The sequence below is a fragment of the Homo sapiens genome, chromosome 8, assembly GCF_000001405.40.
Source record: "Homo sapiens chromosome 8, GRCh38.p14 Primary Assembly".
In the NCBI taxonomy this organism is placed as follows: Eukaryota; Metazoa; Chordata; class Mammalia; order Primates; family Hominidae; genus Homo; species Homo sapiens.
Window position 1 is genome coordinate 22,719,694 of NC_000008.11, and position 16,531 is coordinate 22,736,224.

The 16,531-nt window shown below is 52.3% G+C and overlaps 1 protein-coding gene across 2 annotated transcripts in view, besides 1 other annotated feature; it reads right to left on the reverse strand.

Moving 5' to 3' along the window:
* Window positions 1–16,531, reverse strand: part of PEBP4 (phosphatidylethanolamine binding protein 4) — a 227,827-nt gene that overhangs the window by 6,443 nt on the left and 204,853 nt on the right. For both annotated transcript variants that reach the window (NM_001363233.2, NM_144962.3), the window contains exons 5-6: window positions 7,482–7,527; window positions 5,150–5,263 (exon numbers count right to left, since the gene is read on the reverse strand). In NM_001363233.2, coding sequence (NP_001350162.1) covers window positions 5,150–5,263; window positions 7,482–7,527 — 160 coding nt within the window. The remainder of the gene's footprint in view (window positions 1–5,149; window positions 5,264–7,481; window positions 7,528–16,531) is intronic.
* Window positions 11,069–11,269: a silencer, noted in NCBI's record as "peak6940 fragment used in MPRA reporter construct". NCBI's record gives its function as "represses an SCP1 promoter by STARR-seq MPRAs in K562 erythroleukemia cells {active_cell/tissue: K562}" and the evidence as "EXISTENCE:reporter gene assay evidence [ECO:0000049][PMID:32103011]".

Consider the following 16,531-nt stretch of genomic DNA (forward strand, 5'->3'; position numbering starts at 1 on the left):
GCCACTCACTGTTTCAGGCTTTGCTTTCCTCGTTTGCCCTGGGGTAGGGGTGATGGCCACTGTCCTGCCCCCTTGACATGGGTGGCAAGGGGAAGGCCAGGGAGGGGCAGGGTGGCTGGTGGAGAGGCTGGTGGAGAGGCAGCCCTGCCTGCCTGGGATTGGGACAGGGAGGACGTCGATCAATGCAGAGACTGTCACTTGTGGGCATGGTACTCACAGAGGTGGCTGCCTTCTCAGGTGCTGAGGCAAGCTGACGTGTGTTTGCAAATGTGGGGGTGTGAGAACGTGCAGATCCATGTGTGTGAATGGCTTGTGGATGTGCATATGTGGGTGTGTCTCACACACAGACACACTCATTAACTGAAAGCCAACAGTGGGCTGGGCACAGGGACAGGTGGGAGAAGGGAAAGAAGGCAGAGGTGAGCGCTTCTCTCAAGGAACTGATAGTCTCATGGTGGAAGGGGGGCCGCCACGAGTGGCAAGTGATTTAGAAATACAAAAGAGATCAAAGCAGATGTCTGGGGAGGCACAACAAATGCTGTGTGAGTGGAGAAGACGATAGAGACTAGAGATGCCAACAGCAGGTTGGGGGAAGCCTGGCTCAGCGGATCAGCCTTGTGGGGTTGTTCTAGAGGATGTGATGGAGGGCCAGCAGCCGGGACTGGTGCTTGGAAAGTGGGCAAGGCATTGCGGGTCTGGGAAGGGGAGAATGAGACGCCCAGATGGGCAGTGGTGGGCAGGCAGATGTGAGCAAAGAAGTAGTTCAGGGACGTCTGGCAGTGTGCCGCACACAAGGGCAATGGTACAAGGTGCAAATGAAATCTGCCTGGAAGGAAAGATGTCCCCCTCAGAGGGGTGTTCACTTAGAATCAGAGGGAGACAGCCCAGCATGTCACAGGCCTGAGATAATGGCATCTGCAAATCTGGAAAGGCAAAGTGTGGCCTTTGGGACAAGCGTCACATAGCTGTCCTGTGACGCTGGCCGGCCAGCCCTTGTCAGAGGCACCAGTTAAGGCTGTTTAGATTTCAGGGGTCTCTCTGTTCCTCCTATCTTGGGGACCAGTTATGCTTGTGCTGTTTGAATATCTCCCCTGACTCTCTCAGTGAGCACCCCCTATCCATAGAGCTACACCAGGGTGACTCCACACATGCATGAGAGCAGGGACACCATCACATGGTGACTTCTTACAGCACCCAAAACAGCGCCAAGTATACACTAGGCATCTGGCATCAGCTGAGCGAATGCAGAAGGCATTACTGAGTTATGCCAGGCGTGGTTTGAAAGTGGCCAGAGAGGAAGGAGCTGTGCAAAGGTAGGAGGAGTGGGGTGGCACGGCAGGGTTTCATCAGCTAGAAGTGGGGTAGCTCTAAGCCCCTCCACGACCCTTGCTGTGCTCCTGGCCTCGTGGGGTCTGATGCAAGACCTCTACTAGGAAGTATCAGGGCTGGCTGGGAAAGTCGAGCCTCATCAGTTGGTCCCTGCATTTATTTGGCAGAACAGGGAGGCCAGGACATTCCGGGAAGCTGGGAGCAAATCAATTTCAGGTCATTCAATTGCAGATCAACTAGTCTAACCCTGTATCTTGATGAGGTCAAAATTGAGACCCAGGGAGGGGAGGTCACCTGGCCAAGGTCAAACGATCAGAGTCGGGACATCAAGATCTCATTTGCTGACCACATGTACATTGTCCTGTGGTCACAGTAAAAAGAGGAATCCTGGGGAGGGTTTCACCTCCTTGGGTCTGAACAATGCCATCCCCACATCCCCCTACATAGTCATGACAGGCTCTACTAGAATCATCTCAAGCCTCCTTCTTCACCCTAAGCCTGTCATTTACCCATAAGATCCAGGGAGGGAAGAGGCCTGAACAGGATGGGGTTCAGTGGCCCGTCTGCCATAGACGCCCCTCTACCTGGCTCCTGTAGGCTGACCTTTCCCCTCGAGTCTCTAGAAGCTTTTCCTGCCTGTTCACCCAGGGGACACAAGCAGCTGGTTATACCACACTGCCCCCCTCCCAACCCCTGACACCCTGCTTCCTCCACGGATTCTCTCCCCTGGAGAGAAATCTAGATCAAGGCAAGTCCTGGGACCTGTGTTCATTGGCAGGACCCCATGCTCTGGCCTCCCAAGCACTGGTCCAGCCCTGGGCTCCGTAAGTCCCCAGGCACCGTCCAGGTGCTTCAGAGAGCACCAGGCCCTGAGTGTTTCAACATCGTGCAAGGACCTGGGGTTTCTGCTTTTGCAATCGCCCCTGGGTTCATCCACACCTCACTGCCTCATGTCTCGACCCCTCTGGTGGTGTCCTGTCCTCTCATTCTGGTCAGTTCTGCCTGCCCCTCCAGGTTCGTCGTCTCCAAAGAGTGACTTTTGAGTGTTGCTTCTCTGGTAAATAATTTCTAACGGCTTCCCAGAGTCAACCTGCAAAAGCCACTCCTCTGCCGGACTTCTGAGAACCTTGTTTTTCCCCTTCCCCTCCATTTTCTCACTTAAAAAAAAAAAATCTATGGTTTCTCCAACCCAGAGCTCCCTCTTCCTTCACTCAAGGATTCAGATCTCCTCCTTCTCTAGGGCCCAGCCCTGCTCCAACCTCCTCCCCATGGCCTCAGGGCCAGAGAAATTTGTAGATCATCTGGAGCCAACCCCTTATTTTCTAGATTAGGAAACTGAGGCCCAGCGAGGTTCATTGATTGGCCTCAAAGTGAAACTACTAACTAGAGAGAGGGGAGTCCAGATTGCCTCACTCTACAATAAAACACCTTTATATCCTCTCTGGCTGGAGAGAGCACAGTGTTCTGGAGGGAAAGGTATGACAGGAAGGGAAGAGATCTATCCCTGAGTCCACAGACTTCCAATTGTCCTTACAGTTAGAATCACACAATTAAGTGTTTAATTACAACCTGCTTTGCATTGTTGTTTAATTGTTTCCAAAGTAGACTGTAAGCCACTTGGGGACAGGGAAAATTCCTGGTGCCCTTGATTGTGTCTCCTCTGAAGTTCCCAGCACAGCGCTGGGCACATGGAAGGCATCACATGGCAAGACTGGGACCTTGGCTGGGGCTTTCATCTGGGAGGGCCATTTTTTTTTTTTTGTTTTTTTGAGACGGAGTCTCTCTCTGTCCCCAGGCTGGAGTGTAGTGGCGCGATCTCAGCTCACTACAAGCTCCGCCTCCCAGGTTCATGCTGTTCTCCTGCCTCAGCCTCCGGAGTAGCTGGGACTATAGGCGCCCACCGCCACGCTGGGCTAATTTTTTTTTTTTTTTGTATTTTTAGTAGAGACAGGGTTTCACCATGTTAGCCAGGATGGTCTCAATCTCCTGACCTCGTGATCCGCCCACCTCAGTCTCCCAAAGTGCTGGGATTATAGGTGTGAGCCACCGCGCCCAGCCTGGGAGGGCCATTTTAAACCCTGTACAGATGCAAGTCCAGTTTCTAAGTTCCCCATGGACAAAAGGTGGGTCAAGGGGTGGGGTGGGGAAGTACACAAGACCAAACAACGCGTTTCAGGCCCAGCGCGTTTTGGCTTCCTTGCCTGGTCACCAACATCTTGGGAGGGGTGGGTCAGGCCTCTGCTGGTCCCTCAGGCCACTGTGGTTTCTGGAGGACAGGCTGTGGTCGAGCCTCAGGAGCCCCAGCACGCAGAGTAGGGAAGCGTCTTTGGTGTATGCAGCTCCCTTCCTCTCCCTTGTCTGTCCCTCCTCATGGCATCTCCCGATGCTCTATCCTTCCCTCCATCCTGCCTTCAGAAAGCACTTCACCCCCGAGAGACTCCCGCCCTGGGCATAGGCATGGTGATCCCGGAGTCTCATGGTGGGGCTCAGAGGCACTGCTTCATTTTATGAGAACCCCATGGGTGGGAGAATGTCATAGGCTGAGGTCCCGACATCTTTGGTGAGATCGGTAGCCAGGGTGCTGGAGACAGTTTTTCTTGGTCTGGGCAAGATACATAATTTTGTTTCCTTCTCTCTGCATCTAAACTTAAAAGTATGTCTTTGGCAAAGCCGTTTAAACAGATTCACGGATTGGCAAGGTGCTGAGGGCACCTGGGGAAGGTTCACTGGTGGTAAGTTTGCACCAGCTCCACTCCCAGGGTGGCCTGGAGCCCTCTGTGATAGGTGGGCCCTGCTCGGCACATCTGAAGGGCCCTGTCGCTCAACCTGTGCCTTTCTGGGCTCCATGTTCCTCTCCTGTGGGGCCTCCGGCATCGCGGTTGTAGCAATACCTGTGCCAGCTTCCTAGTGGGTGGATGTTTGGTCGAGGTCACTGGGTGAGAGGAAATGGCTGACGACACCCACCCTCCCACTTGCCTTCCTGCCAGCCTGGGGGATGTGCTTCTTGCACTTCCAGATGGCATTGTTCAGTCTCTATTGTCTTCCCTTCCCTAAAATTGGGGAGCTGAGAGTGCAGGGGTGGCTTTATTTCCCATTTTCTGCAAGAGAAATCTAAGGCTCAGATGGCGGGTGGGGGAGTCGGGGGCATGGCTCACACTGGGTCAGGTGAGACACTTGTGGCATGCTGCAGTGGCCAAGTGGCCACCGCTCCTGCTCCCTGGCCCTGGTGGCAGGAGGACCGAGGCCAAGCAGGCGGGGTTCGCCATTAGGAGGCTATAGGGAGTTGGTCTGCTCCAGAAGCCAAGGAGGGCTGCTCAGAGAAGCTAGTGGAGGGGGGATGGTGGGGGACATCTTCCCCTCATCACTGAGATGGCACAGCCGACCCAGTAATTAGCAACCCATGAGGATAGACTGGCAGGGTGGCATTCCAGGGCCCTCTTGCCCAGATCAGACTCAATTACAGAGCACAATGACTTGCCAAAGTTCAGGGGCAGCTGCCTGCACATGCCATGCAAAGTTTCGGGGTACTCTTCTCCCTGGCTGCAGTCACCTGCTTTGAGACCCTGCCTTACATACCAACCCACCCAACTGGAGCCTCTACACTGGTCTGTGGGACTTACTTCTCAAGGGAGACCACACCTGATGCCAACATCTTTAGGGCACTCCTTCCAGTTCACTCCCAAGAAACACCAGCCTTCGACCCCAGTCTCCAAGGCTCATGAGTGGGGGTCAAGGCCCCAATTTCCCCGTAAATGCCTGAAGCGTTTGTTCCACCCCAGAATTCACCCCGGTGGTGGCTGGAAGGATGGGGAGGTCTTACCTCGAGTTTTGTTTTCCTTGGGAAGGAGAGAGATGACTTTTCCTTCCTGAAGATAGACAAAGAACTGGTAGCGATGGAAGCCACTGTGTGCCGGTGGGGAGGGAGCCTGGTAGGCTATAGGTAGAAGCAGGAGAGAGGTGAGCATCAACATCCCATACTACCGAGGGCAGAGCTCTCTGCCTTCCCATGGTCCTGCTGACCTCCCTGGGGCCCCAGATCAGCACTCGGCCCTGCAAAACATTAGGATTTGTATTTGGCGGGATCTCAGCTTCAGTATTTTCATTTAAGAAGTACATATTTTGGTGGGGGTGAGAGTGGGGGAGGAGGTGGTCCAAGAGGAAACACCCTGAGCTGGCTTGAAGGCCTTGGGTGCTGGCGTGGCTCCCAGGCCTTTATGGGCCAGTGGGTGTTGGCATTGTCCTGTTTTTGCTTTAGTCTATCCTGATGGATTTCCTGCCTCAAGAGAAGCCCATCTTCCTCTGTGAGTGTGTTTGGCAGAGGATTTTTATTTATTTTTTCGGCATTTGCTTATGAACTCAATCCCCAAAGAAGCCAATTTCTTGGCTGCGTCTGGAGGGTCTGGAAGTGGTTACGAGGGTGGGTGGGACTGGGTTCAAAGGTTTGATCATGGGAGCTGTAGGAGCTGGGTGCTCGGGGCATCAGGGAGAAGTTCCCTCTCCCAGTCCTTCTCTCTCCCTCCAGGAGGCTGAGCTCTTTTTTTGGGGCGGGGGAAGTGGGGTGGGGACATCCCTCATTCTTTCCCCAAGTCCATGCAGAGTCAAGGTCCTGCTGGCCTGGCCTAGGTCTTTCAAGGTGGGCCTCTTTCCCAGAGTGCTTCACCCCTTCCCACTCCCCTTCCCGCTCTCCATCTTCCTTTCCAAGGAGGAGAGCCAGGCTGGAGCCAAGAATCTTTCTGGGTGGGTGGGAAAGAAGCATTTGCAATGAGGATGTTGGTGGGAGGGAGTATTGGTCCTTTATGGCCATCTCCCCTTCTTTCCTCTCCTGATCATTAAACAAAAGCACGACTTGCTGCTTGGAGCACTGGAAGAGTCCCTCACTGTGCACTTCCGGCCACTGGTGGCTTCCAGCATGCCAACAACCGGGGAATTCCTGACGATTCATCTTTCCCTGCATTTTTGGATCGCAGATCAGATATATGTGTGTGTGTGTGTGTGTGTGTGTGTGTGTGCACGCGCATGTGCACTCAGAGTGAGAGCAGAGCTGGGTGTGCTGAGAGCCATGTGTGTGGTTGGAGGTCCCACTCGGGGTGGGTGTGTGTACATGAACAGCCAGTGTGCAAACGCCCCGATGCTGTTTTGGAGGGCCTGTGTGTGTGTAAATGCAGGTAAAGGAGCATTTCTTCCTAAACACCGCCAGGGCTGAGAAAGACTTCTGAGCACAGGTGGGTGCCAGGGAGTCTCCTCGTGTGCTTAGGTATGGAGGGCAGATGGGACAAGTCAGTGTGGGCAAGATGTGTGGGCATGTGGGCTGTGGAGTACACTCCACCGTGGGCACACTTGACGCTGCCCAAAACTGGTGACCTCAGTTCTGTGCGGACAAGTCTGAAGTGAGAACTCACTGGATTTGTGCAATGGAGAATTTATCCTCTATCTCCTCAAGGGAGATAGAGACTAATGCCTCTCACTAGGGCTTTCCTCAAGAATCCCCTCTTCAAAACCTCCAAAGGCAGAGAATTGAGGCGTGAGGAGGAGGGGAAAGGGTTCACACATGCTAGACCACTTCTCCGGGCCAGGCCCTGGGCTGTAGGCCTTCACTTATGACATCTCCTCCATCTTCCCATTTCCTGGAGGCTTGAGAGGTAAAGCCAGGCCAACAGTGAGTGGTGGTGCTGGGATTTGAATCCAGGCCTGCTTGGTGCCCAAGCCCACGCTGCTTCACGGAACTGCAGGGCTAAGTTTGGTGCCCAGTGCTGTGCCAGAGGCCAGCCCAGTACCTGAGCATCCCTTTCAAGGTAGGTTGGGGGCATCCTCCTGGGGCAGGGATCTGAGAGAGGGGAGCTGGGGGAAGGATGGGGGTGGACAGGGGTTACAAGCAGCCTCCAGTCAGATGGCCCCCTGCACTGTGAAGCTGGCTGCATTCTTTACTAGCCATTCACATGGCGCAGGATGGTCTGTGCCTCAGTGTTATCCTCTTAAAATGGGGACACTGATGGCAGTGACCATAAAAGGCAGTTGTGGAGATGAAATCAGGGCATCCAAGAAAACTCTCAGGCTGGTGCTAGCACACGACAAAGCAGCACCATGAGGTTTTGATTCCTGTGATCGTCACTGATGCCCTGGCTGGGGGAAGGGGTCCCTAGGGTCTTACTCACCTGATAACTCCTGGCCCTGAATCTTCCCTTTCTTCAGGTCGGCGCCCTGAAAGAAGAGACAAGCAGGGCTGTAGGTTATGTCTTGGGCACACTTCAGGCCACGTGGGCTCTGCGGGATTGCTTCTCTCTCTGCAGGAGGAGGATGGGAGAGGAAGGAGGATGGGAGAAGAAGTAGGATGGGAGAGGAGGAAAATGGGAGAGCAGGAGGATGTATGGCTGCTTTTGGGAGACAGGGCAGTGAGTGGGGTTTTGGAATGGGTACCTCAGGGGATCCAGGGAAAGAGGACAGACACACGTATTGCTGAGGGGGGCAAATGGACACCTTCCCTCTAGAGAGGCCCTGTAGGACACTTCCCAAAGAGCTGTTCCACGATCCCTATTGGTGCCTGAGACTGGGCGCTACACATCACCTGCAGGGTCTGGTCGGATCTAAGGGAGGCGCTTAGGTCTGCAGTTCTCTGGATCTTACTAAGGAGCCCATCTTCTCTGGAGGGAGGACTCTGCTCCCTTTGGAGCCTTTAGAATATTAAGCAATGGGCTCAGAGCAACCAGCGGGGGAAGGGAAAGCAGGAGGAGGCTACACTGCCTGATTCTGTGGCAGCTTCTCCCCACCCTCAGTTAACTCAGCCCACAACCCTGGGGCAGTTTCTTTGGCCACTGGGACAGCCTCAGTTTCCCTCCTCTCTTTCCCTCCCTCCTCCCCTCCACTCAGTGTCTATGGGATAATGAGGTGACCCCGGGGGTGGGTGCTAATTACTGTTTGTGCAGGACTGGGAGATGCTCAGATGAAAGAGACTGGAGCCGGGCCCCTGGGTCTGTGCCATGGCTCAGGGGCCCCAGGCCATGCCAGGGAGCCCCAAGGCCCCTAGGTGTGGGGTTTTATAGCCTTAATGAAGGTGATTAGCGTGACTCTTAATTGAGTCTGCCGACACCTAACTGTGCCCTGGCTACCTTTTCACCAAGCCTAGAAGAGGGGCTCATGGGATGCTGGGAGGATGGGGGAGAGGTGGGAGGCCCTGCTTGAGGTGGGGGCAGGGGCAGGAGAGATCCAATCCCCTAGCTTGAGGTTTACCTTTTATAGAACTAAAGTCCTACTCGCTCAGTCCAGAACCCACCAGATCTCCTACCTTTTAGACTGCAGCTTGTCTATTATTGTCCTCACTTTGGGCCTCTTGGTCAGATATCCCTCTTCCAAGGCTGGTTCCTATAGAGCTAGGTCTCATTTGGTTGGAAGAAGGAGCAGGAGACTGTGGAAGGATAGACCCTTCCCCCACGAGCCCCTTGTACTTTGTCTTCTTCACCTGATACAGGTGAGATAGATCTTTCCTTCCTTCCTTCATTCCTTGCTGGCTTGCTTCTTTCTTCCTTCCTTTCTTTCTTTCTTTCTTCCTTCCTTCCTTCCTTCCTTCCTTCCTTCCTTCCTTCCTTCCTTCCTTCCCTTTTTTTGGAGTCTCGCTCTGTCATCCAGGCTGGAGTGCAGTGGTACGATCTTAGTTCACTGCAACCTCCGCCTCCCAGGTTCAAGCGATTCTCCTGCCTCAACTTCCCGAGTAGCTGGAATTATAGGTGCCCACCACCACGCCTGGCTAATTTTTGTATTTTTAGCAGAGATGGGGTTTTACTATGTTGGTCAGACTGGTTTCGAACTCCTGACCTCAGGTGATCCACCCGCCTCAGGCTCCCAAAGTGCTGGGATTACAGGCATGAGCCACTGCGCCCAGCTGAGATCTCTTTCCTTTAACTTCCTTCTACTCTCCCTGATCCTGTTCTTTTCTGCTCAGGAGGATCTGGGCAGCCTTCAACATCAGGTCCCACCCATATGGTGATGCACACTCCAGCTCTGTCTCGCTCCCCTCTCAGCACAGTCCCCCAACTCCCCGCATTTTGGGCCTGGCTTTATCCAGGGCTGGCATTATCCAGGCCCAGGTGTGGCCAAAGGGCTGTGGCCTGACAAGGATAAGGGATTGGAGAATGGAAGCCTGTCTCCTTGCCGCCCATCTCTTCCAGGAGAGGAGGGAAGGCCTTGACAGATGCCTAGCAGCCACTCTCCCTACAGAGCTCTTCTGCCACCCGAGCAAGATGGAGAGTTCTAGGGCTGAGCGCAGGGAAGGGCTGCCCAGCCTGGTCTGCCCTGAGCTCCTCAGCCTCCCCTTATTCCTTTCCAAGTCAGCCCAGCCAGCGGTTGTTTAAACAAAACAATAGCAACCTAAGCTGGCTGTTTCTTTTCAATTCCCCCCAGGCTTGGGTCCCACCCAGAGTGAGGCAAGGGAGCAGGCAAGGGTGGGGGCCAGGGCCAGTCAGATCAGGGAGCTGGTTTGTGCAGAGCTGCAGTGGGTGGAAAGGCTGATCTGGAGCCTTGATGGGGTGGGAAGTCTCCCTTTCTTCATCCTTTCACTCTGGGGAGCTTTTCTTATCAACCGGGGCCAGCATAGGCAAAGATTCTGCAAATCCTTACGTTGGGTTTGCTGAGGCAAGCCACTGGCCCTTCCTAGCCACCCAGCAGATCCTGTGCTTGACTGGGGCACTGATGGCAAATGGACTGTTCAGGTCCCCCCTGGAGCTGATCCCACGGACAGGTGCTGGTCCTCACTGGCAGAAAGAACGGGGGAGGACCTGGTGGAGGAGGGTGGAGGAGGAGTAAATCAGAAGCTGTGATTTACTCGGATTGTCTTGAGAATTGCCTAAGTTCTCTTTGGCCATAAACCTTTCCTCATTGGTCAGTCCTGGAGGGGCTACAATTTCTACCATAGAATCAACACCTGGTAGGGGCTTTAGGAAACTAAATTCTAAAAGGTGAGAGAGTTGGGCTCCAGAGAGGGAAAATCCAGAATGTTCAAGGAGGATGAGGCCTTAGACCCCAGGCCCTTCGAGATCAGCTAACTCAAGGTCTCATGCCTTTCGACCTCAGTGCCATCCTGTGCTCTTTCTGTGACATCATGACAATCCCATCAGTTCTATGGGAGGCATCATTTTCCAAAGACCATGATTAAAATACGGAGATATTATCTGGAGGGCTGGAGCTGCGGTGAAAATGGGGGCCCTCCCACCCGATTTTAGCTCTTCTAAAATATCTTCATGATGGCCAAGTGCAACAGCTCACACCTGTAATCCCAGCACTTTGGGAGGCTGAGGCGGGTGGATTGCTTGAGCCAAGGAGTTTGAGACCGAACAGTTTAGGCAACATAGCAAAACCTCGTCTCTACAAAAAATGCAAAAATTATCTGGGCATGATGGCCCATGCCTGTAGTCTCAGCTATTCAGGGGACTGAGCTGGGAGGATCACCTGAGCCCAGGGAGGTGATCCTGAGCCATGATGGTGCCACCGCACTTCAGCCTGGATGACAGAGTGAGACACTGTCTCAAAACAAATATATGGATTAGAATGTCACTTCTAGCCTGCGATCACCCTAGAAAGCTGAAACTGCCCGGGGATGGATGAGATTCAAGGAAGTTTCAGGAGGTAAGAGGGAGAAACCTGTAGTTTTGAGCACTGCTCAGGGTTGCTGGGCTAGGAAAGTGCCCTGGGAGGAGGGGGTACCAGCCCAGCATTTGAGGAACACAGACACCACTCCTGTCGAGTCTGAGAAGAGATCGGCTTTGGAAGGAGACCCTGAAGGAGGCTGAAAGTTGGGCTTTCTCACCGTTTAGAATTTAGTCTCTGAAGGCCCCTAACAGGTATTGATTCTATGGTAGAAATTTAAGCCCCTCCAGGACTGACCGATGAGGGAAGGTTTATGGCCCAACCTGCAGGGTCTGGTAAGAGCTCCCTCACACCTTCGGCCTCCTCACTTTGACCCTGCTGCCTCCCCCAGCCCAGACTCCAGATGTGCTCTTGCCTCTCTAAGATGGGCTGAGCACAGACCAAATCTCCTTTCCCTTCCTATAGCTAAGACAGGCTGACATTTTCAAAAGGAACTCGTTTAAATGCTAAGGTTAAAAAGAAGAAATATAGTTGATCTTTGAACAACATGGGTTTGATTTGTGTCCACCTATAAACAGATGTTTTTTCGACAAAAGTTACACTGAGTGTGCCTGCCTCTCCCGCCTCCTGTTGCACCTCCTCCACCTCTTCCACCTCTTCTGCCTCTGCCACCCCAAGACAGCAAGACCAACCCCTTCTCTTCTTCCTCCTCCTCCTCAGCCCATTCAATGTGAAGATGATGAGGATGGAGACCTTTATGATGATCCACTTCCACTTAACAAATAGGAAGTATATTTCCTCTTCCTTAGGATTTTCTTAATACCATTTTCTTTTCTTTGGCTTACTTCATTGTAAGAGTACAGTATAGAATACATATAACATACAAAACATGTTAATTGACTGTTTATGTTATTGGCTTCCCGTCAACAGTAGGCTATTAGTAGTTAAATTTGGGGAGAGTCCAAAGTTGTAGTTGGATTTTTGACTTTGTTGGGGGTGGCACCCATACGCCCTCATTGTTTTATTTATTTATTTATTTATTTATTTATCTATCTATCTATTTATTTATTTATTTATTTTTGAGACGGAGTCTCGCTCTGTCGCCCAGGCTGGAGTGCAGTGGCACGATCTCGGCTCACTGCAACCTCTGCCTCCCGGGTTCATGCCATTCTCCTGCCTCAGCCTCCCGAGTAGCTGGGACTACAGGTGCCTGCCATGGCGCCCGGCTAATTTTTTTTTTTTTTTTAATTTTTTTATTTTTAGTAGAGACGGGGTTTCACCGTGTTAGCCAGGATGGTCTTGATCTCCTGATCTCGTGATCCGCCCGCCTCGGCTTCCCAAAGTGCTGGGATTACAGGCGTGAGCCACCGCACCCAGCCCCATACCCCCTCATTGTTTAAGGGTGAACAGTAATTATAGAAATTACAGACAACATAGATGTAGTTCAGTTTCTCATCCTCGAGAACGCTGAAAAGCCCAGGATGGGTTTTTCAGGAGAGCAGACCAGGAACACCGAGGTATTTGGGTAGTGTGCCTAGGAGGACATTCTGGGCCTTCTAAGTTTGGGACTGGAGGGCCCGGGGAAGGCAATTCTTCCTCATCAACATCCTGTGGAGATGGGGAGTCTAAAATACCCATGACTCTCCTAGCAAGGGAAGGGAGGAGGAGGTGAATTTCTTAGAAGGACCCTTAAATGCTCAGGGTATAAGAAAAATAGTAGTCATCACATGTTCTCACTTATAAGTGGGAGCTGAACAATGAGAACACATGGACACAGGGAGGGGAACAACACACACAACTGGAGGGCCCATGGTGGGGGCGTGGGGAGGGAGAACATCAGGATAAATAGCTAACGCACACGGAACTTAATACCTAGGTTATGGGTCTATAGGTGCAGCAAACCACCATGGCACACTTTACCTGTGTAACAAACCTGCACATCCTGCACATGTACCCCGGAACTTAAATAAAATAAAATTTAAAGAAATGAAAAGAAAAAGAATAGTAGTCACTCCTTTTTCCTAGAAGCTGGCCCCATTTGTGTGTGTGTGTGTGTGTGTGTGTGTGTGTATGCACATGTGTGTATGTGCATGCATGTGCACATGTATGTGAGTGTAGGGTACTGGGTTTATGCATGACTGCTTGGCACAGGACTAGGTGCAAATTATTCTAATTGCAGAGAGGAGGGCTCAACACTGTGGACACTTTGGAGGTGCTTCTGGGTTCCTAGAACATGAGATTTCCTTTCCAGCTCTCTCCCACCTCAGATCCCACTGCTTCTCTGGCAAGCTAGCCTGGAACTTGCAAGCGAGATACTCAGGGAAAGTTGTGGCTTGACTGAGAGTCATAGCAACCCCATTCTCAGTCCAGGGTGATGCAGACTGTCTTCCCAGACTTGTCCCGTCTGGGTCAGGTAAAGAGCACGGTGCTGGAAGCCAGGGGTCTATCCCCACCGCTATTGCCTTGCATTTGTAACAGGCTTTCAGCTTTATTCTCCAGGCAACCATCCAACTGGTTGATCTCACAACATCCCATTCAGAGGAAGGGCAGAGATCTTTAGCCCCATTGGACAGGAGAGAAACCACAGAAGCTTCAGCTCCTCGAGGGTGGGGACTACACCCTACCCATCTTTGTGACCTATGAGACGCTCGGCACACAGTGGGTATAGTCCAAGTCCGTGGGCGCCCTGGCCCAGTGCCCAGCCCTTGCAACTTGAGCCATCCCTACTTAACAACCTCTATCCTTTGGGTGTCCCCGTAGGGACAGAGAGCTGCATTTTCTGAGGTCTTTCATAGACTTGAGGGTCCAGCGACACTCCTCCCTCACCTGGGGAACCCCTTAGGTAAAGGCTCTTTGGCTGGATTTGGTAGGTCTGGAGTGTGGGGAAGGGGTCTGACTCACTGCTGGTCCCAGCAGGGATGCTGGCCCAGTTCCCTCATTCCCCTTCAATTACCTGTAGGCAGCGGCCCACCCACCTGGGTGTTTGTGAAGGCCCCAGATACTCAGGCTCGTGGTGCCTCAGAGCAAAGGGTCAGTCGCACATATCCTTGAGTGAGGGAGAGGACTTAATCTCGTTACCCACCTCTTCCCATTTGCACAGGAGGATTCAATCTTCTGCCTGGGTGCAAACCCCGGTCAGAGTGGGAAGTTTTGCTTTTTGATCTCTGGGTGAAATGTAGGGGTGGGGATGGGGGGTTTGGGGAGGGTGGGGATGGGGGAATTGGGGAGGGTGGGGATGGGGGAATTGGGGAGGGTGGGGATGGGGGGACAGGCATCAGAAGAGTCCCTAACTTGAAAGGTGAGGCTCAGAAAGGTGTCATGGAGATAAGGGAGAGTAGAGGGAGAAATGAGCAAAACAGAGCACTTGAGGGTGGGAAGGAAGAAATGAGAAAAAAAGGGAAAATGAAAACAGAGTTCCAAGCTCTCTGACACTGGCACCAAACAAGAAAGCTCCTTGCTGTTTTGCACAGCTGCCTGCAGGCTGCCAAGTGGCAAAGGATCCAGGAAAAGGCACAGGACTGGAAAGCGCTACCCAGCAATCTGTGTATTCGGCAATTAACAAAGGGTAAGTGAGCGGAAGGCACTGACAGCTCCCAGGCTCTGAGGTCCCCAGGGGCCGCCTAACGCCAGCCTAGAGAAGACCCAGCTCTGGAGACTACTGCCTGCTGCCAGGGAGAGGCTTCCAGTCAATTAACCCCAATGGCCTTCTCTTTTGCCCTAGGGTTGGGGAGAGGAGGGATGGCCACTGAGGTGGGTGGAATGAAGCCCGTGGGAAGTGGAAGAAGGAGGCGCAGATCTGAGCCCTCCTGGGAGCTGAGTACTTCTAGACTCCAGGGTGTAGGATGGCCAATTATTTTGTGGACCAGTTTCCCTCCAGAAATGTCCATATCAAAGACTTGGTAGGCCTTTTCCTGGCACCTTCATGGGCAGTGGGGACAGCTTGGTGAATATCATCTTAGGAGATGCCAATGGGTGCATGGCAGATCCTGGTATCTTGGCACAGTCTGGCAATGGGACTCCTGGGTTTTGATTCCTAGTTTGGCTTCAAATCTGGAATTGGTTACTTCTCTGGATCTCCGGCTGCCAAAGTTGGGTGGGCACTATTGAAAGGAGGCTAGATTTTGGGGCCTTGAGGGATGTGTAGGAGCTTTTCAGTTCTCCAGTGGATAAGACAAGGGAGGGGAAGGGCAGCTTAAGCTGAGAAAGCTGTCTAAGCCACGTATCAATGTGCGGTTGTGGGAGAATGATTTGCTTCTAGGAGTAAGGAGTTTACCCAGGATGGGAGGAGCTTCACCCAGAGCGTCACCACCCTCCATGACACTGGGTTAAGAGACGAGATTTCCCAAGGCCCAGGCCATCTGAGGCTTGAAAAGTACAGGCTGTCCAGGCCCTTTGTTCTAGGTCGTGCGATTGCCAAAAATGTCACACCGTCTTGCAGCTGTGTGTGTGTGATAGTATCTAGCACAAAGCTGCCCCTGAGGAATGGTAGCTGGTGAGATGGGTAGATGAATGAATGAATGAGAGGCCCTGTGTTGGAGATAGAAATTTAATTAAGACACAGGTCATGGTATAAGGAGCCTCTGATCTGCTAGAACAGATAGATCACAAAGAAATAATAATTACAGGCTTAAATAATTGAGGCCTAGAGGCCATGCTGGGGGGAGCAGAGATGAAGGAAGAGATAACTGCTTGGGGGTAGTGATCAGAGAAAGTTATTGAAAGGAGGCTAGATATGGGGCCTTGAAGGATATATAGGAGTTTTTCAGTTCTCCAGTAGACAAGATAAAGGAGATTTCTCTTAGGTTGAGAAAGCTGCCTAAGCAATGTATAAATGTGTGCATGAGACATGGGAAGATTTCAAATGACTTGGGTGTCCGTTGAAGCCAGAACCAGCATGTGAGTCTTCAAGAATCTCAAGAGAAGGCTAGAAATGCAGGATGGGGATAAGACTGGAATGGTAGGCAGTGCCTCTGATTTCTGAGACTCAAAGCTCTCAGCAACCTAAACCCTGGGTCCACAGATCCCAGGCAAGGCTTCTTCTCTTCTCCAAATGATCAGTAACTGTGTCCCAGGAGGGCCACCAGAGTTGGTTGGCTGAGCTGCCTTCCCTGTCAAGAGAGGAGGAGGGTGGGCCCCAGCTGGGGGACACTGCCCACGTGGCAGGTCAGAGCAGGATGCTGCTGAATTTTGTCATCGATGGCCTCACTCAGAGCAGGTAACTCTTGGACCCCCAAACCCAAACACCTCCCTTTTACAAACAGTAATTTTTGTTTCAGGTAATAAAAGGGCTACATGTTCCTTGTAGAAAAATTGTAAAACACAGAAAAGCACTAGAAAGAAAAAGCATTCCCTGGATCCTACCACATAGAGACAATTGCCCTGAGAACATCCTTCTTTTCTTTGCATTTTGGTTCCAAAGTTTCTTGTCACACAGATGGCAGCTTCGAGCCCCTGGTGCCTCTGGGGCCTGTACTGGCTGGGACTCCCAACTGTCTGCCCTCGGGGAACTCCTGCTTGGCGAAACTTGCCCAAGTTACTTTCAGTCCCTGACACTCAGAGAGCTGGCTGAGCCACAGGAAATTGTGGAGCCACCTCCTTTTGACTCTTGCCTGTCATGGGTCACTCATTC